General features: G+C 34.2%; 1 protein-coding gene across 10 annotated transcripts in view; it reads right to left on the minus strand.

Annotated features, from left to right (window-relative positions):
• The window catches only part of DST (dystonin), a 496,835-nt gene that overhangs the window by 25,591 nt on the left and 446,382 nt on the right, over window positions 1-24,862 (minus strand). For all 10 annotated transcript variants that reach the window (NM_001144769.5, NM_001374722.1, NM_001374736.1 and 7 more), the window contains 13 exons: window positions 23,081-23,203; window positions 22,857-22,958; window positions 20,411-20,512; window positions 17,934-18,107; window positions 17,494-17,649; window positions 14,270-14,467; window positions 13,793-13,921; window positions 10,424-10,594; window positions 9,348-9,503; window positions 8,641-8,847; window positions 5,904-6,023; window positions 3,518-3,687; window positions 1,726-1,885 (listed from right to left, as the gene is read on the minus strand). In NM_001144769.5, the coding sequence (NP_001138241.1) occupies window positions 1,726-1,885; window positions 3,518-3,687; window positions 5,904-6,023; window positions 8,641-8,847; window positions 9,348-9,503; window positions 10,424-10,594; window positions 13,793-13,921; window positions 14,270-14,467; window positions 17,494-17,649; window positions 17,934-18,107; window positions 20,411-20,512; window positions 22,857-22,958; window positions 23,081-23,203 (1,968 nt within the window). The remainder of the gene's footprint in view (window positions 1-1,725; window positions 1,886-3,517; window positions 3,688-5,903; window positions 6,024-8,640; window positions 8,848-9,347; window positions 9,504-10,423; window positions 10,595-13,792; window positions 13,922-14,269; window positions 14,468-17,493; window positions 17,650-17,933; window positions 18,108-20,410; window positions 20,513-22,856; window positions 22,959-23,080; window positions 23,204-24,862) is intronic.

Here is a 24,862-nt window from a genome sequence, read left to right on the forward strand (position 1 = left end):
AGGAATTAAATTCATTTATTTTGGCCACAGACTGATCTAAGAAGTGAGCCCAGAGCTCTTTATTTTTGATCCAAGAGTCTGTGTATGCAACTAGATCTTTCAAACATTAATAACCAACATTCTGTCACAATAAAATTAATGTGTTTTTAAAAAAATCATCATAAATGAATATTACCATTTGGCCATATCTATAGGTTTCTATTCTGATACTCAGATCATTCACAAAAGTGAGCCTATCACAAAAGTGATTATTTGACTGATTCAACTCTAACAGTTAAAATGAGATGTGCCTGCAGAAAGACACAAACACACACGTATACACCAATACACACATTCACACACACACAAGCACACATGCAAATGGTACAGTATCTAAATATCCCATTTATGATAGGACTAGTCCAATAGTTTTCAGAAGACTTTCCAAAGCATTTTTACATACTTGAACTTCTTGAGCCTTCCAGTTGTATTACTAATGCTAAATGATTAATTCATTCTTGATGACCTTTAATATATAAAAGATCTGGCAATTACCTAGAGTAGTAAATATTTAGACAGTGAGTTTACAGAAATGGCATTTATGTAAAAAGTAACATTACGCTATTCATTACTCATTGAATAAATGCCAGGAAATAGAGAAGTTTGTATTAACCATACACAAAACATTTATTTCAATATAAGCAAAGCCATGTGATTTTTAAATTTTTAACTTTTGTAGACTTGACCAATGTTCTTTATTTATTCTTTTATTTTATTTTAATTTAGTTTGTTTCACTTTTCAGGTGTAACAAACTCTCTTATGGGTATAATGATAGAATAGAAAGAAAAAAGGAAAAATAAATATGTAATAAGACTTTTAAAAAGAATGGTAAGATCAAAATAGCATAACCAATATAAAGAGAACATTATAAATGGAATAAGTTTTCTGAACTCAGATACTAGAGAGAAGAAATACAAGATGAATTTAAGTAGAGTGATGTAAGACATTTTTATATAAAGTCAACTCCAATACAACTATTCTACATTAGTACTATGCTTCATATTGTTTCCAAGGCTAAGTTGCTTTATATCATTTGGTCATTATTTTGGACCTTACACTTAGTTGGACACCTTGAATATTACCTTTGATTTACATGACATGACAGTTTTACATGCATATCAGGAGATTTCAAGGAAGCCAGTTTTCTCGAAGTAAATAATAATCAAATCCCTTATAGCATAAGCTGCTGACTCATAAACTGCTATAATTCAAGGGGCAAGGTTAAAACAGTTTTGGTTCGGTATTTTTAAAAGCAGTTGGTCATGACCACCATGGGTCATGTCACAAATCTACATACTTATGCAATGACTTAGTGTCAGGTCACTGAATGAATGATTTTAAATTTTATTACATAATTGTTTAAGTGCATAACTAAAGATAGTAAAACATTCTTGAAATCTGTTTTAAAGCACCAGAGAATGAAATCACTTTCCAAGTTCTAAAAAGGTTTTAGATCTGGTAATTAAAAGCAAAAGTATTTCACTGACACTAAATAATACTTCCCCATCACTTTTAAAGTTTGCTTCCAGGTTCTGCTCAAACGGACACATATTTCAACAATAAAGACTGTTATGTAGTATGATCTATAGTCTTCTGATTTTAAAAGGCTAATTTAAATGGTTTACATTTCCTGTACACTCAGAATAATCAAACAAGATAAAATAAAATGTCCCAGATAACAATACCTTGTGATTATCGATCAGATTCATCACCAAATCAATGTCTCCATGAACAGGCTGGTCTTCTGCCAGCTGGGGTTCAACTCTATATAACCAATCAATGAGAGCCTGTAGGGCATCTGTGAATTGTCCAGAAAATAACAGGGCTTCCTCCAATTTGTTTTGTCTAGGGAAAAAGGTAGAAAAATTGATCCTTGCAACAAAAAACGTCACTCATATATCTGAACATCTAAAATTAATTGATGAAGGTTGAGTGGTACTCAAGGGGAAGAGCAGTATGTTGGTATTCATTGTTGTTTCTTTGCTCTTCTTAGGAAAAAGACAAAACTTTTCTAAACTTTCTTTCTTATTCCTTAAATACATGGCATCTGTTCCAGGAAAATTCCCACCTTTGGAAACCATGGACCCTTCATGTTTCTTCATAAAAATAAGCCTTTTAAACTGTTTAAATATTTTTAAAATTTTGTTTTAGATTATCAGGCAGTAAACTTGACATTTTTTGGTATACACTTCTATACATTTTAACACATGTATAGATTCACGTAATCATCACCACAATCAAGATCCAGAACAGTTCAACCATCCCAAAAATCTTCCTCGTGCTGTCTCTTTATAGACACGCCCTGCCCCCGCCTTCAAACCCCTAGCATTCATTGATCCGTTTGTCAGGACTTTATTTTTTTGTCTTTTCAAAAATCTTGTAAATAAAACCATGCATACAACACTGGAAAAGGTATGTAACATGCTGTGGCTGAGGAATTTAAGATTTTTTCAAGGGCCAGGCGCAGTGGCTCACGCCTGTAATCCCAGCACTTTGGGAGGCCGAGGCGGGCGGATCACGAGGTCAGGAGATCGAGACCATCCCGGCTAAAACGGTGAAACCCCGTCTCTACTAAAAATACAAAAAATTAGCCGGGCGTAGTGGCGGACGCCTGTGGTCCCAGCTGCTTGGGAGGCTGAGGCAGGAGAATGGCGTGAACCCGGGAGGCAGAGCTCGCAGTGAGCCGAGATCCCGCCACTGCACTCCAGCCTGGGTGACAGAGCGAGACTCCGTCTCAAAAAAAAAAAAAAAAAAAAAAAAAGGATTTTTTCAAAACTAACATGACAAAAACTTACTGTGAGTTCCCCAGAACTGAATATAATCTATTTAATCTTGATACTGACAAAAATCATTAAGATTAAGGATCAGCGGGAAAATTTGGAAACATGTACAATATATTTGAACTCTACTACTATTGTACTCAATTAAATACTTAAAATTTTTGAAATATGTCTTGGGTTTTCATGGAAATGTAATGAGAAAGAGGGAGATCAGAAAGGGGTAGATGGAGTTGGAAAGAAATGCTGGGGCCAGATCAGTGGTACCTTGCACGTCACATTAAGAAGCCTGTGTTTCAATGCATGCCCAGTAGTAAGTCACCAAAGGGTGTGAAGGAGGGGAATGACAAGATTCCATTTACATTTTTAAAAGACTATCCAGTAGTTATGTAGAAATTAAGTCAAAGAAGTGATAAAAGTGGACATGGGAAGACGAGTCAGAAGCAGTGGGTGTAGTCAAGTCTGAGATGGCAGAAGCTTGGACAATGATATCACTTTTTATTGTAATGAGTAGTTAAAAATTAATGAACAGCAAAGACTTCTCAATGCAAGTGCTATGTGTGTGGGATACTTAGGACAAGCAGAAGTTCCTCAGGCAAAGGAAATATTTAAGGTTCCCGAAATGTCCCCGCAAAGCACCATTACTGTGTATTTGAAAGAGGTCTACAGAGTAACCAAACTGTCTTAAAGAACATTTTACCTTTCCACAGATTTTCCACATATGGTATCCCATTTGTCTCTGAGTTCACTCAGCATGTCATCCAGTTTCAGGTTGTCATCAGCCAGGGAGGTTTTCTCCTTCAGAGAACGTCCAGTCCTGTTGGTGGTGTCGTAGACAGAATGCTTGGCTCCGAGTGATTTCTGAAACTCCTAAATATTTAACAAGAAAAAAATGCGAATTTCTTCTTGGGACTAATAAACAGGTAAGAGGCATTAACAGAGGCATCCCTAATAAATGGAGATGAATTATAGATGCTTTCTGACTTATAATGACTTGACTTAGGATTTTTTGACTTTACCATGGTACGAAAGCCATAGGGATTCAGTAGAAACCATACTTCAGTCACCTATTCAATAAAGTACCTAAGATATTCAACACTTTATTATAGAAACAGGTTTTGGGTTAGATGATCTTGTCCTATTGTAAGCTAATGTTAGGTGTATTAAATGCATTTTTTATTTACCGTATTTTCAACTTACAGAGGGTTTATGGGGATAAAAACCCATCGTAAGTTGAGGAGCATCTGTATAGTCTTTCTACACAACTCAATCATAAGCTTTTATAGAGCAGGGACATTGTCTTTGTAGGCCTCTCATTATCATCTTACACCTAGTAGATGTTTATAAATATTCAATAGGAAGAGTAGAAAGAATGAGATAACTGTTACTGAATATACAATAGCAGGAATGAGAACAAAGAAAGGTCAACTTAATGGGAAGCTTACAAACTCACAAAATATAATGGAAACATTAATACAGTGATTCTCAATCCTTGTAGCAAATTAAAATTACCCTAGATAGTAAAATGCTATGCAAATGTACACTTTTCTAAAATAATCTCAAGGTTATAATTACCTAAGAAGTTTTTACGGCCTTTAAAAGCTACATACTTTAAAGTGTTTTAATATGACTAAATTATTTAATTTGTCATGGGTAATAGGCAACTACATCTGGAAATTTCTAAGTAATAGACAACACAATTACAATCACATTATTTCTACAGTTATCCATAAATTTTTTTTCATATTATGCTAAACAGAATGCCAGTGTTATAGAATCATGGTATTGACAGAGATTTTCTTCACAAAGCAGATATACAAAAAATGTTATGGTTGAATACAGGTCACTGTTGCCAAATAGAGACTTTAAAAAGGTAGATATTCTTATTTATAGGACTCTCTAACTTTAATATGTAATATACTTTCATAAGACTACACGATACAACATCCACATTCAAGTTCAAATAAAGCATTCTGTTTTGAGAAGGAAGCTCTCATTTCGCCATCAGAGGGGAAGGAAGGAAGGTGCTGTTCACTGTCACTGTGCTCCCAATATTGAATGTGGCAGCTCACAGGCAAAGGGTGCCAGCAGAGCAAGCCATTCATTAGCCCTCATCTGGCCAGGGAACAGATGCTCAATATGTTTCCTCCCATCCCTCTAATCATGACCTCCTAAGGTTAGACCCACTGATGGAAGCAGCCAACCTATGTGAAGATGATGGCCAGGATTTCCTCCTGATGATGACAAATTTTATATCACCCCAATTTTTCCAGCCTTTAAAAATTATGTTTCAAGCGATAATTTATATGTACGTGCCTAAAATTGTAAAACCCTTTGCAAGAATCACTCTCCTTTTACCCACATCCTCATCCTGATGGCTGGTGGGGTCAACTTTATAAATAGAATTACATAAAAATCCAAATTCAAAAGAGCTGGGGAGGGTGGGAGGGAATGCTCTTTGAATGTCATGTGGAAGATATAAAATATGATAGGCATAGAAAAGGTAGAAAATATTTAAAAAACAATGTTTCTACATGCTTTTCTAGTCTATATAAACATGTCTTTGGGTACCTTTGAGGTTGGGTGGAATTTTATACGTGCACAAACACAATAAAATATTAATTTACAATTTAGGTACAAGCATCCAATTTTTCTCACTCTATTGTTTAAAAGAATCCATACCGCAAAATATCTATTACTTTTTACTACAGAATTACCTTCAAGGTGCTATTTTGTCTGTCAAAGAAAGTACAGGAAAAGACAGCTATCATGAAAAACTGAAATGCCAATGTTTAAAACCACTACAAATCCTTTATATGTTTTAGATTGTAGAGGATTTCCATTTTTATTTTGTATGTTTTTCTTTTTAACAATTAACCTGGGAATCATTAGTGAAATGGTCACTGAAGAGTGAAGATATTGCAACATAAGCAACATGAAGAGCAATAGCTTTTAAATTTAATACAGGTTCACACTGGACCTACATTTTTTCTTTAGTGATGAATAAACACGTGATGAAGTAAGGATTTTAAAGTGATCTTGAACTATATAATGAGACAATATGCTCTTCTTAATTATGGACCCACCTTATGTTGTGCAAGTTGTGTTTTTATTTTGTCTGGATCATTTGCGATTTCCAGTTCAGAATCCAAAGACTTTTCTGACTCTTCTAGCCACTCCATAAGTTTACTCCAAGCTTCATGGAACTAGAAAGAAATTCACACCTTTGTCTGAAAATTTTTCAAGCATATTATACTTGAGATCTAGCACAGTTTTAAGACAGAGATTAATAGTGATGAAAATCCTGAAAATTATTATTTCAAAATTTCCACTGAAGAAGAAAAAAGTAATGCTTTCATCAGCAAATTACAAAAAAAGTCTTGATAATGCTTAGCATTTGTGGCTGTGCCCCACTGTCACTTTGTTTTAATTCATTCAACATATCAGCTCTAAAAGAGCCTAGAAAAAAGTTAGGAAGCTACAGAAAGAACTTCTTCCTTATACTTTCTTCTTGTTCAATAATTAACATAAACTCTCAGAAAATGTTTTGTATTTTTGTTGTTGCTGTTGTTTACTGCTGTCTGTTGACAGATCTGGGTTTACTTCTAGGGAATTTAATCCCTATGTTAAGAAAGAGGAACAAAAATGGGGAGGGGTAAGTATAAAGCTTGTAAATTGATTTTTTAAAGTAGCAAAAACAAAAAAGAGGCCATTGCATTCCTATTTAATGCAAAGATAGTTCAACATCTTTATTGCTGCTATCAATATCCTCAAATCAATGCCTGTGCCTCACATATTGGTTTTATATGACTGAGCAGCCACAATATTTGGGTTCTAACACAATGTTATTCTCTTTGGCATCTATAACCTTGCAAACATTCTGGTACTATATATATTTGATTTTGAGCACAGTTTCTTTTCGGTTTGTCATCAAGAACCAGCAGGTACTATTTTCTGATACAATTGTGAAATTGGTTATAAATTATTTGTCACAATAAGCTTAAGTGAACAGATACCTAACAAAAAATTTAGTAATCAAAATTAAATCTATTGTATACCAAAGCACATGAATAATGAAATAACAACAAGATATTTAACAATAAGAGCAGAGTAAGGACACAGACTCACAAAACTGTAAGGGCTCTCTGGAGATCATCTCATTACAAACCTTCATATCCCTCTCACAACTTTAATCAATTAAAACATGGAAAAATGGAAACTAGAATAGACACATGAATTGTGAAAGTCAGAGAAGTATGATCAATATCTGAGCCAAAAACTGAGATATTAGAAGAAGAAGAAATAAATAGTAGAAACAGCTAGTCAAGGTGTTAGGTAGTTTGACTCCAAATAATACAGGCTATAACAGTTGGATGGTAAGGTCAATGATACAAACGCACAAGTTCTGAGGCTGGTTCTGCTTTCAAAACTATTTTTAAGCCATATAAATAGAGGAAATGCTATACATTTGCACTAAAAACAGTAGCAAATATTTATAAAGTTAATTAGACAAAATGAGAAAATAAAATTGATTAAATCGAGAAAGGAGGAAAAAGATGAGCAACTGGCTACTGATATCCAAGAAACATTTATAAACTGATGTTCATAACTCAAGAAATGCCGGCACTACACATGTTATTGCACCACATAATGTGGAGAGAAAACTGTCAGGCTGAGAATTAATACTGTCTTAAAGAAACATTAGAGATGGAGTATATCCCAGTGACTCATTTGTAACACTGAACATTTCACACCTCCCATTCAAAATGGGGTCTATGGTGTGTAATGCTATAACAATGCAATTTGTCATTTCTCAAGCCTTCAAACATTTGTACTGTTAGCATTAAACATTGAAACACCTGACTCCCGTGACATCTTTTTGCATCACCCAACTGAGCTTAACTCCTCAAAACAATGGGGTACAACACTAAGGCTAGAAAATTGCAGCTGACTGAGGCAAAAAGTAATTGTAAAATCCTCCTACAATATTACACTAAATTTCTAGTAAAAATCAAATGTTTAAAAATATATATATTTGTCAAGCGAGGTAGGTACACCTCTCTCTTCCATGGAGTACAAAGACACACAGAGATGCATAACTTTACCTCTTTGTGTTTAGTCTAGAATGGAATGTTAACAACAGGTAAAGGGAGTAAGGAGAGGAGAGTTCTCTGTGAAATTTGTGAAAATCTCTAGATTAAAATTTTAAAGTGGCCCCAAAAGATTCAAAAAAATTAATTTCAAAGTGAGATGGAGCTCTATTATCTGCTCAAAATATTAGAGAAGAAATGAAGGTCTGTCAACAAGTGTTCAAAGAGGTGGGGAGTGCCGACCAACTCAGACAGAGAATATGCCCCTTCAGAAAGCTGTCGGGAGGGCTACATGTCTGGCTCTCAGCACTGATAGCTTGTGAAGAAAGTCTGGCTTAGGAACTAAACAAAAGGTAGCAATACAATGAAGTATGATGTCTCACTCTGATTATGAGAACAGAGGTCAAAAGGACAAAGAAAAAGAAAACAAACCCAATAAAAAAAAATTCTGAGCTTCTTTCTGGGCCTCAATGATAATAGCCTGTCTATGAAGTCAAGCTATAATCAGTCTTCTTAAGATTAGTCCCCAGGGGCTGAAATTGCTGCCAGGTCAAAAAGTGATGTCAGCATCCAAACTGAGGCCACAGCCCTTTTAGGAAAGAACCACCATGGCACCATGCCATGATTGTTATGCCTAATACAGCCTGTGATAAAAGTACATCCATAACATATATTTCAACAGCAAGAAGTGGTTTATTGACAAGTTCAGAGAATTTTTCTAAAGGGTTATTACCTGCTTGGCTCTCTTCCTTGCATCATCCAAAGATCTTCCTCTCTCTACCAACCGTTGAACCACTTTTTCCCATCGACTTTGTACACTGATAAGTAGATTCTTGATTAGAACAACATCTTGTTTCTGACTAAAATATTTTAGGTGGGTTCCAGTTTTGTCCAGCTCTATTATCTGCTCACGATGAGAATTTACTTCATTGGCAAAAACCTTTCCCAGAAAAAAAGGAAATAAGTAGAAACAAATGAAAATCAGATCAATCTTAAAAATGCTTCTGGTGTCATAAACCTGAAATTATTTTAAAGGACAAACGAAAGCTTTCGAAATACCAAATGCATGCTTTTGACTTTAAAAAGGCCTGCTGTCAGCCGGGTGCAGTGGCTCACGCCTGTGATCAGCACTTTTGGAGGCTGAGGTGGGTGGATCACTTGAGGTCAGGAGTTCAAGACTAGCCTGGCAAACATGCTGAAACCCCATCTCTACTAAAAATACAAAAATTAGCCAGGCATGCTGGTGGGCACCTATAATCCTAGCTACCTGTGGGGAGGCTGAGGCACAAGAATCGCTTGAACCGGGAGGCAGAGGTTGAAGTAAGCCAAGATCACACCACCACAGTCCTGGACGACAGAGGAGTGAGACTCAGTCTCAAAAAAAAAAAAAAAAGCCTGGTGTCTGAAAAGAGAATCCTATCTATTTGACTCACTACATACCTTGTGTTCGTCAATTTGAAATAAGACTGTGTCCAAGATGAGACTTGGCCGAGAAGCTACATTTAGGGTCTGTTCAGCCTGAGTAAGCCAGTTGATGAAGTCTTGGAGAGAATTGTGGAACTCCATTGCCAAGTTGAGAGCCTCTTCCAGTTTAGTCTGCAAGGACAGATTGTTTAGTATGTGATGTTTAAGGGCCTTGGTTATTTTGTTTGTTTCAGTTTAAATATTCTCTGGCAGATTCCTTTCCTATCCCCACTTTATTTATGCATATCTATTAATATATTAACTAAATATCTTATAAATGTAATGGGCCTCACTAAAATACTGGCAAACCAAAACCCTTTAAGCCTAGTAAGCAGCATCTCACTGTAACTAAAAAAAAATTAATATACGCTAAAGCATGTTTTTTGGAAATTAACCAAAGAACACAATTACTAAATATAATCTGTAAAAAGAAAAGTTGACATTCATACAATTAATTTGGGGACTCAAAATATTATGAAATACATACTTTATGCTCCATCAGTGATGGCATATAATCTTGTATTTCTTGCCTATTGTTTTTTTCATGCAATATTGAGATTTCTTAGATTGTCAGTTTTGCGGTTTTAAAAAAGTAACAAAGACATATTCATAATTTAATATACATTTTAATCCATTCTCATGAATTTTTAAATGTAAGTACTTAAAAGAATATACACAATCATCTCACTCTCTTGCTTTCCCTCTCTCCCTCACCCATATATATAGTCTTTTGTTTAATTAGATTAAAATAGAATTAATTATTTAATGACCCAGAATTTGAGTAGTTCTTAACATTTAAAAATATAACTAAGTAACATTTGATCTATATATTTATCTATTTTTGAATATATCCCACCCCTTTAAATATGTTCTCATGTTAAAACAGAATATTATTTTCAACTACCCCATGAAATCTCCAAATATATACAAAAAATGTTTAAACATAAATCATTGAAAGTTCTACTCCTGATAGCTCTACTCAGAAATAAGGCCAAGTCCAAGACATGAAACAACTAAAACACTGATTCTATTATATTAATCAAAGCACATACTTTCCTTTCATTGAGTTTGGTTTCCACCGATTCCCATTTTTCTTTCAAGTTATTTATGTCTTGGTCAATATTTGTCTCTGCAGATTTTGGGCATCTTGCAAGCATCTGCTGGCCTTTCTGCATCAGACTCTTATATGTTTCTTCTTTAGCTTCAAAGGCAGCACAGACTTCCTAAATTGAGATACCCTCAAGTTATATCACTTTAAGAAAGTAAAATTTAAGAGTTCTATTTTTCTAGGTCATCAGTCCCAAGCTCCTCATCATATATTCATCTCTGTTTGCTCTCTCAGGGCAACCTTGACGCATTTATACTTTTCACTACATTGAAACAACAATTAAACCTACAGTCATACCCTGTCTACTGGGAAATCTAAAAAATGGTGTTATCATTATCAGCCCATTCTGGCATGCTAAGATTTGAAGCAACAGTTTAAATGCTGTCAAGAAAGCTTTCACTGTACAGTAACTAATTAGTTCTGTGAGTTTGGGCAAGTAATTTCATCTCTCTGAGCCTCAATTCCTTCCTCTGTAAAATGAGAGGCTCTCGTAGATCCCTCCTTGTACTATGATACAATGAATGTAGTATTTCATTGGTACGATTTAATTCTGCACTCAGAAAACATGCAATGGATAGAAAGTAAATAACCAGCACAGTAATATATTTAAGTTGATTATTCAGAATTATAAGAATCAAACTTGTGGTACTATGAATATTATTCTCATTTAGAACATTTCTAAAGCTTCTAACTAGAATGTTGTATGTATCTTCTATACAGGACATAAAATATTGCTTAAACAAATTCAAAGTTTAAGACCAACAAAACAACAGTTACTTCTCATTTAAAAAATTAAGACTAGTTCTATTTTATTTATTCAACTATAATGTGGGTTAAATCATAGTTCTCACTGAAAGATTATATATTTTATGTCTCACATTTTCAACTTTATACGTTTTAAAACTTGCAATATAACTCATATAATATAAAATACACTATTATAAGTATACAATTCAGTGTTTTTAAAATTATATTCACAAGGTTTTGTAATCACCACTAACTCCAGAACATTTTCATCACCTCAAAAATTTATTTCTTAAGCTTTAAAAAAAGCCCTATATAAATATATTTACAATATCATCTACTAAAAGCTTTAAATCCTAAAGCAAAACTTTCAGATATAGCTAAAAACTCAGGAAACTAATATTGTAAGTTTTGTACTTTTCTTCATTTCTAGCACAACAAAATCAAAAGAACTTTATTGAAATGATATTACAAATATCAACAACTCTTTAGAATGCTTTAAATCACAAATTTAAACTTATTTAAACAGATTTCTATGATTTATTATATAGGGTTACAAAAGATTCATTTTAAATACCCCGCCCAAACTCAGTTCGCTGAAATGGAATATTTTCTAAAAGTAAAGTATTCTTAAAGGTAGGTTCTTTGCTTTCAAGTTCTTATATTCTTCTAAGTTAACATTTTAAAAATATTTATATTATTAGAAAATAATCCCAAGCATCTATCTGTTCATGAGTTCATTAAACTTATAATTAATGGACACTGTCAAAGCTGTGCAAGTACTTTCCAGGAAAGTAAGGAGCTATCTGGAAGTTTCTCAGGTTTTTTTTCAAAAAGGAAGATAAGCACTTACAAGTTTAGTCTATTACTTTTCCAGTGAAACAAATAGGTCTCCTGTGGCACTAAAAACCAATAACGACAACAACAAAAACCACATACATAACTTTCTAAAACAATAAGTATACCATAAAGATTTCTAGAAAATTCTACACCGAATTAGTAGGACTTACTTAAACTACTGATGGTGATTGTGAAATAAATATGATGCTACCTACTGTCATAATCTGTTTTATTTCTTTACAACATCTACATGATGGTTACGCCCTCCTCAAATCACTAAATTCAAAATTATTTCCAAATAAGAGCAGTTTTATTAAGATCTTACAACAACATTATATCTCTATTAAAGAGTGTAGATATTGATGTACACTGATCTATTTCTTTTGCCAAATTTCTAAGTACTTCTACTTTTATCTCCCAAGATAATAATCATCAGTATTTGAATATTTTAAAAAATTTCTGATGTAAATTCACAAAAGTAAAAAATTAGGGGACTCTTTCAAAATCTGAAACACTGTTTCCTCTCAGAACTTCTAGTGCTGAATTACAATGGAATATGAATTTAAAATGTCAATAAATCCAAAGTAGCCTAAATTTAATTTCACAGTCCCCATTTCTATGAAAGAAAGCCCACATTTCAAGTCTCATCATTTTTTCCTCATCTTTCTTAGGAGCCAACTGTGTCACATGATCTAGGTAGGAACAGCGCACAGGTACAACACTCCAGACTGGACAGTTAAACAGAAGCCTCCTCTTTGTGTCTGTATTTGGTGTAAGTATGAAGTTGAAGATAAAGCTCTATCACCATTAAAACAAACAAGGAAGTTTTTTTTTTTTAACGGAACAAGAGTATATTTTCTAACCTTCCATGAAACCAAATGAGACAATCATGCTTATAACAATAATTTTAAGTCATTCTGATTATTTTGGAGGTTTTTCTTTACACTTCAAGGCACAATAATTTAATAATTTACACTGTGTTATATTACCACCACCCATACAGGCTTATTTTGTGGGGGAAGGTTTGTGTCTAAAAAGTGTCTAGAATTCTAAAACATACTGACACACTAACCTTTGTGGCACTGTTCACAATAGCAAAGACTTGGAACCAACCCAAATGTCCAACAATGATAGACTGGATTAAGAAAATGTGGCACATATACACCATGGAATACTATGCAGCCATAAAAAATGATGAGTTCATGTCCTTTGTAGGGACATGGATGAAATTGGAAATCATCATTCTCAGTAAACTATCGCAAGAACAAAAACCCAAACACTGCATATTCTCACTCATAGGTGGGAACTGAACAATGAGAACACATGGACACAGGAAGGGGAACATCACACTCTGGGGACTGTTGTGGGGTCAGGGGAGGGGGGACAGATAGCATTAGGAGATACACCTAATGCTAAATGACGAGTTAATGGGTGCAGGACACCAGCATGGCACATGTATACATATGTAACTAACCTGCACATTGTGCACATGTACCCTAAAACTTAAAGTATAATAATAATAAAATTAAAAAAAGAAAGAAATAAAGAATGGGTTCTGACTTTAAAATTTTAATCAATAAATGGTGTGTTTCTAACATGTATACACAGTGATTTCTGCCATAAACTATATCTTTAAAGCCTTCTCCCACGATTTATGTATCGCCAGGGCCCATATAACATGGTCAGTTTGTTATTCTGAGGCTAAAGCTGTAGGAAATACTTTGCTTACCATATGGACATTAAGCTGCTCCTTGGCTGTTTCCGGTAAACCTCCCAGCGGTTTAGATGCCAACAGATGACGCTCCGTGTCAGTCAGCCACTGCTGCAAATCCTCAATTTCGCCATGGAACCCTTTGGCCTGAAGTAATAGGCAGTTTTAAGTTGGGGCCATAAACACTGTCAGTTTCAAGCAGGAAATAAGCTTCAAACAATCCCAGCCTGCTAAGCCTCTCTATGCATTCTTAAGAACAGCCAGGTACCATTAGATTTGCCTTTCTTCATCAGGAGAGCTCTAGTAGATAAGAGTATTATGCTAAGAACTAGAAAGCTGTGTTCTCTTCTGCTGTTCTGTTCTTTATTTCACTTATTTTTACTCCTCTCCTTAAGGTATAAAAATTAAACAGGAGTCTGTGAACTAATAAAAGAATTCCATGCTATTTTGGTCTTGAATGCTATAAAAACTTTCAGAATTTATTCTCTTACTCACCTGGCGCAAGGCACCATCCAGCTGCTGCTTCCTTTGTTCTGTTTTTTCCAAAACATTTTGCCAGCGTTGATTTAAAACCTCTAGCTTGTTCTGAAGGTTGCTTGCTTCTTCTCCTGCACTTGATTCAATTAGATCATTTCCTGCTTTATTAACGGCTTCCACTGTGGACTGATGGGCTAATACATCATTTTGGAGCACCTGAAAATATAAAGATAACACCATGTTTGCTAGTTTGTAACATGTTAATATCATCTTTAATGCAATTGTTTTCCTTTCTGGTTATGAAACATCCTCAAACAAAAACGTTATATGTGTAGAATTTTAATTTTTTTTAAAGAGATGGGGTCTTACTCTGTGGCCCAGGCTGCAGTGTAGTGGTTCTATTAGAGCTCACTGCAACCTCAACACCTGGGCTCAAGCAATCGTCCCATTTCAGCCTCTCAAATAGCTGGGACTACAGGCACACACTGCCATGGTTGGCTAATTTTGTTTTATTTTTTATACAGATGTAGTCTCACTATGTTGCCCAGGCTGGCTAATATTAAGTTTTTAAATGATGAACTTCTTTTCCCCTAAATTTGCAACCTTCCTGGATGTACCTTTACTCTATCAATGTCCCCTGAAATGACTGTGTGAGAACAGTTTGCTAGTTATTCCCACTGGAATGACCTTGCAATTGATGACACTAAATATCTAGAGATTATAATTAAAAGGTTCTAAAATTTCTCACTTGGTTCAAGCCAATTTTAGTTTAATTCTCATGTCAAGTAACCAAAATATATATTTTACTCCTATATATTCATTTTCAAATATAAAATTATCATGTCTAAGGCATACAGTACCATATTTTACAATCAGCATTCTGAAAGAGAAAAAAAATTCCAGAATATTCCTTTATCTTCTCTCATACGAGGGGTCCTGGAATTGACTGCTAAGTTGAAATATTGGAAGGCCCTAAAACTAACACTCTATGTCAGAGATACTTAAACCCAGTATTCCAAAATTCAGTTGTTCTTCAAGTAGAAAACATATATAATAAAAAGCTTACTACAGAACCCAGCAAATAATGCCTTCCTTTTATACAGTGGAAATATATGAATAGGTTAATAACGCTTAAATGCACTAAAATGGGGTAAGTGCAGAAAGCAACCCTAAGGTTTAAAAATATCAATTTCTTTTACTGAATGAGTATAGCCTTAGTAATATTAATAGTTTCCTTTCAAGGAGGCTATGCTTACATTTTTGGAAAGCAGAAGAAACCTCCCTCTAATGTTGGTAAAAGTTGATCCTACTCTTTACTCATTGACTCAGTGTTGGCAATAGTAAAGAAAAAGAACATTATCTCCCATCCTATGTAACACATCACACATCTGGAAAGAAATTCAGACCAGGGTGGATTTTCAGTGAAGATCAGTAACCCTCTGACATCACTGTTTCTCTGACTGTTTTCACTCATATTCTGAGGCATCTGGTTAGGGAGTGTTTTTAAAAGCCAACAAAACCAACTGAGTAAGAAGTTATCTTTATAGAAAGCACTCACTTTGGTATGTTAAGAGTAGGATCACTCTCAGAATCAAAAAGTTAAATGTTTTCATGGCCAAAATATAAAAGAGAGTTCTATAAAATTCATTCTTCTGAATGGTCTGAGTCCTGCTACAAAGTCAGAGCTTAGGAGTAGGAGAAGAAAGCAGGAAAGGAACGGAAACATTCGCCCCTTCCTCCAGCAATTCTGCTGGGAATTTTATGTCCTCTAATTTTGATCTTTGAGGAATGGAAAGAAAAGAGAGAAGAGAAAAGGGGCCATTTCAAAGTACTTAAAATTAGACAAACAGAAGTAAGAGGTCTTTACCTATCCCCCACCAAAATAACTGGATCAGGGTGCCTCATTTTTCCACCTCTACCATATTATACAAAGTTCCTATCCTGATGTATGTTACCTTTAAGACAGTTGATAGGTTTATAAAAATGTAAATGCAGCTATAAACTCACACCATGAGAATAAACATATTTTGTTGCTAGGCAGTTGGTCTCACCAGTCATTAGGGCTTTAAGCAAATGTATAATGTAGACATTAAATAATGAAACAAGCTTCTATGTCAACATTAAGTGTGCAAAATAAATCCAAATTGTTTAATCAAATGTGGCTGGGCAATGACTATCAATGTAGATAGACAAGGTAATAGAAAAATAAAATTTTAAACTAGGAAACAATTACTGTGGGGAACTATGAAAGAAGAAGAACAAAAGCAAGAATAGTCAAAAACTGTACAGCATACAGTGCTAAAAACCTACCTTTTTAAAAAATGTGAATCAATATGTAAAATAATCAAACATTTCCTATTTGATAGTTAAGGAAAATTTATTTTAGTTTAGGATTTAGGACTCTGAAGATATCACTATTAATGTGAATGTCAAAGTCTATGAAAGATTGTTGAATGCCAGGATAAACTCTACTGTGCATAATCTTTTATCCATTAAGTCTAGTGACTGAAGGGATAGGGAATGATCTATTAAGAAGTGTCACAAAGGTGACAACAATATAAGATTGCTTTGCATATATCTCTTAAGACAAAATTTTTTCAACTTACTAGCTTTAAATCAAGTGCAGGACATATAACAACTTTTTAAAACGTAATAAATACTTTAAAAAATCCAGAAAGGAGTAAGACACAAAAATCCAGTCAAAGACAAGAGTGACATGGAGACAAAGGGATAAGCCCCAACATAAGAAGAGATGTACAGACAGATAAAAATATGTCAGAAATGACAAACAAGCTGCAAATGAAAGAGACATGGAAATATGGATGACCAGAGTGAAAATATACATAAAACCTGCAGTAGGACATTTTCAGCCTATGATTTTTTAGGCTATCCCTAACAACTTTAAAAAATAGGTGACATTATCACAATGACAGGTATAATTAAGGATTTAAATCTTTAGTGTTTGCCATGCAGCTCTAATAAACTTTAGTACAAATTGCTCATCCTTGTTTTGTTTGATAAAAATTGCCTTGAATGAGAAAAATATTTTGACCATAATCTTTTAAGAAAAACATTTTGACTATAATGTTTTAAGTAGTTAACCTTTAGTTATAAATGTCAAATATGAACTTGTGTCAAAATCATAAACTTGAAACACGCATAAAGAAGAAATATATCCAAGAAATCTGATGACACTAGAAATGGACAGAGAAGAAACATAACATGCATTAACAGCTACGTACATGATGCTTGGCAAGTTCAATTTCAATGGCTTTAGGGTCTCCTCCAACAGGTTTCTGCTCACTTAGCAAGCCCTCGGTGTGTGTCAGCCATGCCAGGAGCTCATCCAGGGCATGTTGGAACTGACCCAAGGCTAATAGAGCACCCTCCAGTTTATGCTACAGAAAAAGTGGAAAGAAAATCCATTTATAAATTTGATATTATGAATGACATGTCTATAAAACAAGGACAAAAATAATTGTTTCATGTTGTATAAGTCCATAAACGTATCCAGTGAAGCCTAATCATCATATCCTTCTATGTTTTAAGTTTGACGCTCCTCATGGTTAAAATAGAATATATGAGAAGCAGAAATAATTCTAATTTTATCTTTAATAATTATTTTACATTAATATCTGAAATTGAAAATTTATAATTTCTTAAGAAAAGTCTTGGTATTTACCTGTCTGTTGATGATTCTCTCCTCCAGGCTATCCCATATCAATTTCAGTTCCATTAATGGGTCTTGAACAGTGTGTTTGTCACTCTCTTCTGTTACTTTCTTTAGCAAAAGCTCTGCTTGATGATTCAGTCTTTCCATTTCTATCTGCTGTTGATAGGCCTCAGACTTAAATTGCTATTTTAAAAGAGATATACAAAGAAAATATTGTTAAAAATCACTAACTCCAAACAAAGAAATCTATTGGTTATATCATTATTCTAATTCACACTACTTACTGAGGGGAGGTGACGCAAAGTAAAAATCTCACATGAGGCTTACCAATGGAAGAATTATAGGCAAAAAAAATAAGGAAAATATTTTCTCTTTATTCAATATTTTTGGATGGATAGATGTTTCTATTTATAATTTTGACATTTCATTTCATTTTGTTCTCTACAATAAAAAAATAAATTTCAAGGCTGAACTTATTCCAATATATGCATTTGAAAAATGAGTTTTAAAATTATACAAAAGAAAATGAAACATATGTTGACACATATGAAAGCCAAAAAAGTCTTAAGAAACTCAAATTAGTATTTCCTGCTCTGAAACACACACACATCTTGTATCCCCTGATAATTTTATGTTTTCTGTAGCTGTGCTGTGTTCATTAATATTCCTATGCCTCACCCACTGCTGACACAGAATGCTATTCTCTCTCCTTCTACTTTCTAAGTCACTGACATAGTTAATCATCTTGGCTTTGCCAACCAACAGGTTAGCAAACAGTTGCTTGTAATAGGTAACTGTCCTTTCATAAAATATTTATTTTAATATGTAACAGTACAAAATTCATGGCTAGAAGTCCCTTAACTTTGTTCAAAAATACATGAATAATAATTTGAAAATAATAACAAAGGTATAGTAAGCACTTGGTATGTTCAAGTTACTTTCAACCCACTTATTGGGGAAATAATTTTATCCTTAATGTAAGCTAAAGACATAGGAGTAAAACCAGTTAGTAAGACCAGTAAGACCACTGAGGCCATATGCCCTAAGTGGGTGAACCTGGACCTAAACTCAGATAACCTGATTTCAGAGTGAGCACTTCTAACCAGGCTGCTATATAAAAATCACTGACCTATACGAAAATAACCAAAATAAATTATCCACACCCATAATTGTACATAAAGTATATCATATGTTTGCCACATGAACAAATTAAAGTTAAACAAAATTTCAATTTAGTGGTAAGGATAAAATTCTCAAAAAGAAAATTTGTTTCTAAATGAAATATTCTATGTCACACTTAGATATGAAAATGCTACAATTTTAAAGCCAGATAATATTTTCACATAAAATCTAGCAAAGTTCATTGCAAACAGTGTGATGTCTCTGCATATGGAGAGTTAAAATTGGGAAGGAAATAGCTGATCCCATTTTGATAAATGATTATTGGTATAGAGGAATTCAAAGAGGAAACAGTTCAGCCACTTTCACATCTGCAGATCAAGAATTACAAAAGCAAAAACTACAGAGAACAGCAATGGAAAACAACAAACATTTACAAAACAAACCTTTTGGGAAACATTCTTATATCATGGATGTGTTTTTAACCTGTTGAGACTAAATTAATTACTCAGAACATTCTAAAGAAAATAAAAATGTTGGGTTAATGGGTATAAAAAAATAGAAAGAATGAATAAGACCCTGTATTTGCTAGCACACCAAGGTCACTATAGTCAAAAATAATTTTTGTACAATTAAAAATAACTAAAAGAGTATAATTGGATTATTTGCAACACAAAGGATAAATGCTTGAGGTGATGGGTACCTCCATTTTCCCTGATGTAGTTATTATATATTTCATGCCTGTATCAAAATATGTCATGTAACCCATAGATATATACCCCTACAATGTACCCACGAAAATTAAAAATTAAAATTAAAAATATCAGGAAAAGAAAAATGATGCTGTAGTGTATTGACAACATACTAGTGTAGTGACAACAATATACTACTGAATAAACAAGTTAAACAAGTTATAAAAATCCTTACACTATTATCTAAATACATCTCTCTCTCTACCTATACATACACACACACACACACACACACACACACACACACCCCATGTCCCTAACATGAAGATATCAGAAAGGCTATAAATCAAATCTAAGAAAGGTGATCTCTAGGTATATAACATTTTGGGTGACTTGAAATAATTTGTTTTTCTCCTTTTTATTTGCATTTTCTGATTTTTCTATACGAACAGTTATTAATTGACTATAAAAAGAAAACTATTAATAGTATTTCTTTCCTTTATTTAAAGAACACTTATATATTGCTTAGCATGTGAAAGCACTATGTACATTAAACTAGCTTTATAATTAAGCTGTCATACTTACATTAGGTAAAATAAATTTATGTACAAAATTATGTGAATCAAGGACTTAAAACTGCAAGGGAGTCTTCGATAAATTAGCCCCCACACATACCTTTAGCTCTTCAATCTGCTGCTTGACAGTTTCGAGATCTGTTCCAATTGGAGACATTGAAGCTAATTTACCACCTGCAATATCTACCCAGTCAAATACCGCCTGAAAGACACATTCGCCCACGTGTTGTTACAACAGTACATTTGAAATTGCTACAGTATTTCAAGTACTACAGAAAAATACAATCATAAATCTAAAAGATATTATAGAATTAGACTATTTTATAAAAAATTAACATGGTTCACCTAAATTAGTAAAAGCAGTAATATACCAAAATGGTTGTCCCAAATATGAAATAGATACATACAAGTTTGCAAAAGAAATTGTTTATTCAATAGATTCTTGATATATTATGAACTTCTAAAAAAATCATTTGAAAACATTTATAGAATCCAATCACATGGAATTCTTCATTACATGTGCTTAAAAGGCAGCTTGTATAAATATACTGAAAGGAAAAGATTCAAATCTATTTGTTCATTCAAATAAGCAAGAAATTACTGTTTAGAACTTAGGCAAAATATTTGACTCAAACCCTTACATATTATTTAGATTAGCATTAAGATCCTGCACATATAAATTATTAGCATTAAGACCATTATTCTGAATTATAACAGGTTTCAGACTCTCCTGCATTTCTTATTTATTTAGGTAATAAAAATAGTCTAAAAAGGCTCAAGTCACATTTTTTTTAGGTACTGAATACAAAATAAAATCATTTTGCCATTACTCTGTCACCCAAGCTGGAGTGCAGTGGCACAATCAAATAGCTCACTGTAACCTCAAACTCCTGGGCTCAAGCAATCCTCCTACCTCAGCCTTCCAAGTAGCTCAGACTATAGGCACATGCCACCATGGCTGGCTAATAAAAAAAGAAAAAAAAATTGTAGATGGGGTACTTCAGCTCTTGTTTTGACAGGATCTTGCTATGTTTCCCAGGCTGATCTTGAACTCCTGGCCTCAAGTGATCCTCCCACCTCAGCCTCCCAAAGCACTGGGATATTTTGCACTTTAATGAAGTTTACAAACCATATAGTAGGGCGATAAATCTTGGATTTTTAAGTTATCATTAGCCAACCCTGACTAAGTACTTAAGCAGCAACCTGGGAAATAAAACGTATTTTACTTTACAATCAAATCTTGAAAATTAGCATCCAGAGCTTTGACATCTAGCTACAGCTAGCTGTACTGTAGCTACTTAATAAATCAATCTGCCCTTTGCTAGCACAGGTGATGCTACTAATACATGATCAACAGGACTTATGACAGGCCTTACTTTTCTGGTAGTGATAAAGAGACTATACAAGCCATGGTGGCTTGCGTGTGACCTCCTAAATGGCTGCATGTGGTGGCATTGCCACCTCTAGCCATGGAAGAGATTACAACTCAATGATTTAACAATGACCTAGCCTCACAGACTGGAGCCCGAATTAGTTACTTGTCATTGATACCTAATAGAGTAAATTATCACTTAGGTTACAAAAGAAAAAAAAAAAAAGAAGAGGGAGGGAGAATATAATAAAGTGTTATTTGTAGTAAAATCTTTCATATATTTCCAAAGTTCAAAAAACTTCTCAGCTGGCATAAAGCCTAGCTGTGACATTTATTTTTACAAATATAGAAATGGAATGGCATAATAAAAAAGGAAAAGATGTTCTCATCTGGGCTTTAAAAATAATATTCACTTAGTGTTATGGAAATACTTAAGCTTTTTCCATATGGTAAGAAGGATGAAAGATTAAACTCCTGCCAGTCTGTTAGGAAACGGAGCAAGGTTAAGGGAGGTAGGGAGAGAAATATACCCGAGTTGGCCTCAACTGACAAGATAATTTTTAATATTAAAAAAAAACCTTATAAATGGTTAATGAACTGAATGAAAACCCTTAAGTGAAAAACAACTATTAAAAGAAATTATATACATGGAAAAGAAGAAAACACTTTTTACACACCAGATTATGACCTAATAGAAATCTATTTTTGTACATGGAGAACACTGGCTTCAAATCAAATTTCTTTACTTCTGACTTTAGTTAAACTTGGTGATATTTTTAGATAGTGTTTACTCCTTTCATCTTATTCCACTCAGAACAGAATTCACATTTAGTTCCATTTCACTGTCTGGTGCTGAGCCATTTATAAAAAACACTGTGTGAGAACATTTACTTTCACTTAAAAAAAATCAAAATATTTCTTTTCAAAGTAAATTTCACTGAATGTGTATACAGAAATGTGTTTAGATGTGTATATAAATCTACACATATCTGAAAGGTCAGAAATATCTTCTAAAAGACAAAACATGAAATGAGATACACAGGCAACTGCAGGAATAATTTGCCCACAATTGCATATGCACTGGCAGATCTTGAGGTGGTGCCAATATGTAGACATCAATTAGTACGATTCCTCCTTCCAGCTAAGACCAGCACATACACTGTAATCCCCTTACCTGCAGTCCATCCTGGTACTGAACGGCAGCCTGCATTGCCTCCTCAAGTTTGTCAATCCGGTCTTTCCAAGCTTTATTTAGAGAATCCCATGCTGAATTTAACTACAAGATGTATGTTAGAATTCTTTTAGTGCCATATTTTAAACTTTCAACTACTGTTAACAAAATATTTTAGTTAACTAAAAACTTTTTAAAAGCCATTCTGATAAGTAAGCCAGTTGTACCTCATCTATACTCTTCTTGACAATGGGTTTATCAGGCTCCCCACATGCCGCAATGAGTTCAGAACCTAGGTTAATAACTATATCCAGCTCCTCCTGTAGTCCATCTATTTCTTCCCTTATGGTCTAGAATAAGAAAATGACAGCCTTAGAATTTTAAGCAAAACCACATCAAAACTTTAAAAAGTACACAACAATATCAATGGTAGTTATTTCTAGAAGGTGGCATTCTAATCATTTTTCTGTTTTCTAAGTTTCTGCAATAAATTTTTTCAACAAGAAATATTTTAAAAGAAAAACAGCACCCTTTTAGTAACAAATGTCAAATGTTTATTATAAAGATATTTAAGAAATGATAAATAAGAAATACCTTAACAAATACCAAAACAAATTTTTAAAAATATCAACAATACTGTAAGGCTTAGAAAGACATTTTGGTTTCCAAACCAATATACATTTAACATAGACAAGTAAAATATAAATCCAAAAACAATACAAATTAATATATTTGTTAGTAGATTTAGAATAATCTAGCTTTGGATTTACATTTTATGTCATTACCCTAGGCAGGACCAGGTAGGACCTGTAAGGTACAAAGATACCACAACAGAAAGGCAGTATCCTACTTTTGCTTTCATCTTCTTGGTTAAATACATTCATTCATTCAACAAACACTGAATAACCATAAACCAAGCCCTAAACCAGGCACTGGGGATACAAAGAAAAATAGATATGGCTATTCCCCTCAAGGGGCCCACACTACAGCAGGAAAGACAGAGGCATAAGCAACAGTAAACCATACTATGTGCAGAGTCCTTTGCATGAATAAAGTATTACGGGAACACAGATGCACTAACTCTGCTAAGTATACAAGAAAAGGTTTTACATGGGGGTAATGATCCAACTGAACCCTGAGTGGACTTTGCCAGTAGAGTGGCAGGAAGGACATTCTAGAGTGAGGAAATAAGATGCGCAAAGGCACTGACGCTAGAAAGAGCAAAACAGTTTGTTTTGGGAAACGCCCTTTCTAATCAGTAGCAGGGAGGGAGTTTGGTAAAGGAGCAAGAGAAAAACATAACTTTGGAAACATAGGCATGAGCTAGGCTGGCATGCAAAAAGCTGCATGCCCTGCTCTAGGGAGTTTGGGCTTGATCCAGATGGCAGGGGATGCCTCTGACGGGGTTTAGGCAGCAACACAGTAAGAGCAGATCTAGAGAGAAGACTGGCAGCAAGGTCAGAGGCCTAGCAAGGAAAAGACAGTCTGCACTTTGGATTACTTTGGAAGCCAAAAAGAAAGAGAGAGATAATAAGGCCCTGAAATAAGGCAAAAACAGTGAGGATAAAGAGAAATTTTTTGTTGTTGTTGTTTTGTGTTTTTGTTTGTCTTCTGAGACAGGGGCTCACTCTGTCGCCCAGGTTAGAGTATAGTGGCACGATCTTGGCTGACTGTAACCTCCACCTCCCAGGTTCAAGTGATTCTCATGCTTCACCCTCGAACTAGCTGGTACTACAGGTGTGTACCACCACGCTTAACTAATTTTTGTACTTTTAGTAGAGACAGGGTTTCGTCATGTTGGCCAAGCTGGTCTCAAACTCCTGGCCTCAAGTGATCCGCCCACCTCGGCCTCCCAAAGTTCTGGGAATACAGGCATGAGCCACCACGCAGGCCTGAGAAATTGTTTTAAACATACAATCTCAAAGTGAAATTTGTGGGTATACTCTATCTCCTACTGTATCACTGCACATTCCATTTTCAGAACCAAATATAAATGTTAACAGAGTAAC

This window comes from Homo sapiens, chromosome 6, assembly GCF_000001405.40.
Source record: "Homo sapiens chromosome 6, GRCh38.p14 Primary Assembly".
Taxonomy (NCBI): domain Eukaryota; kingdom Metazoa; phylum Chordata; class Mammalia; order Primates; family Hominidae; genus Homo; species Homo sapiens.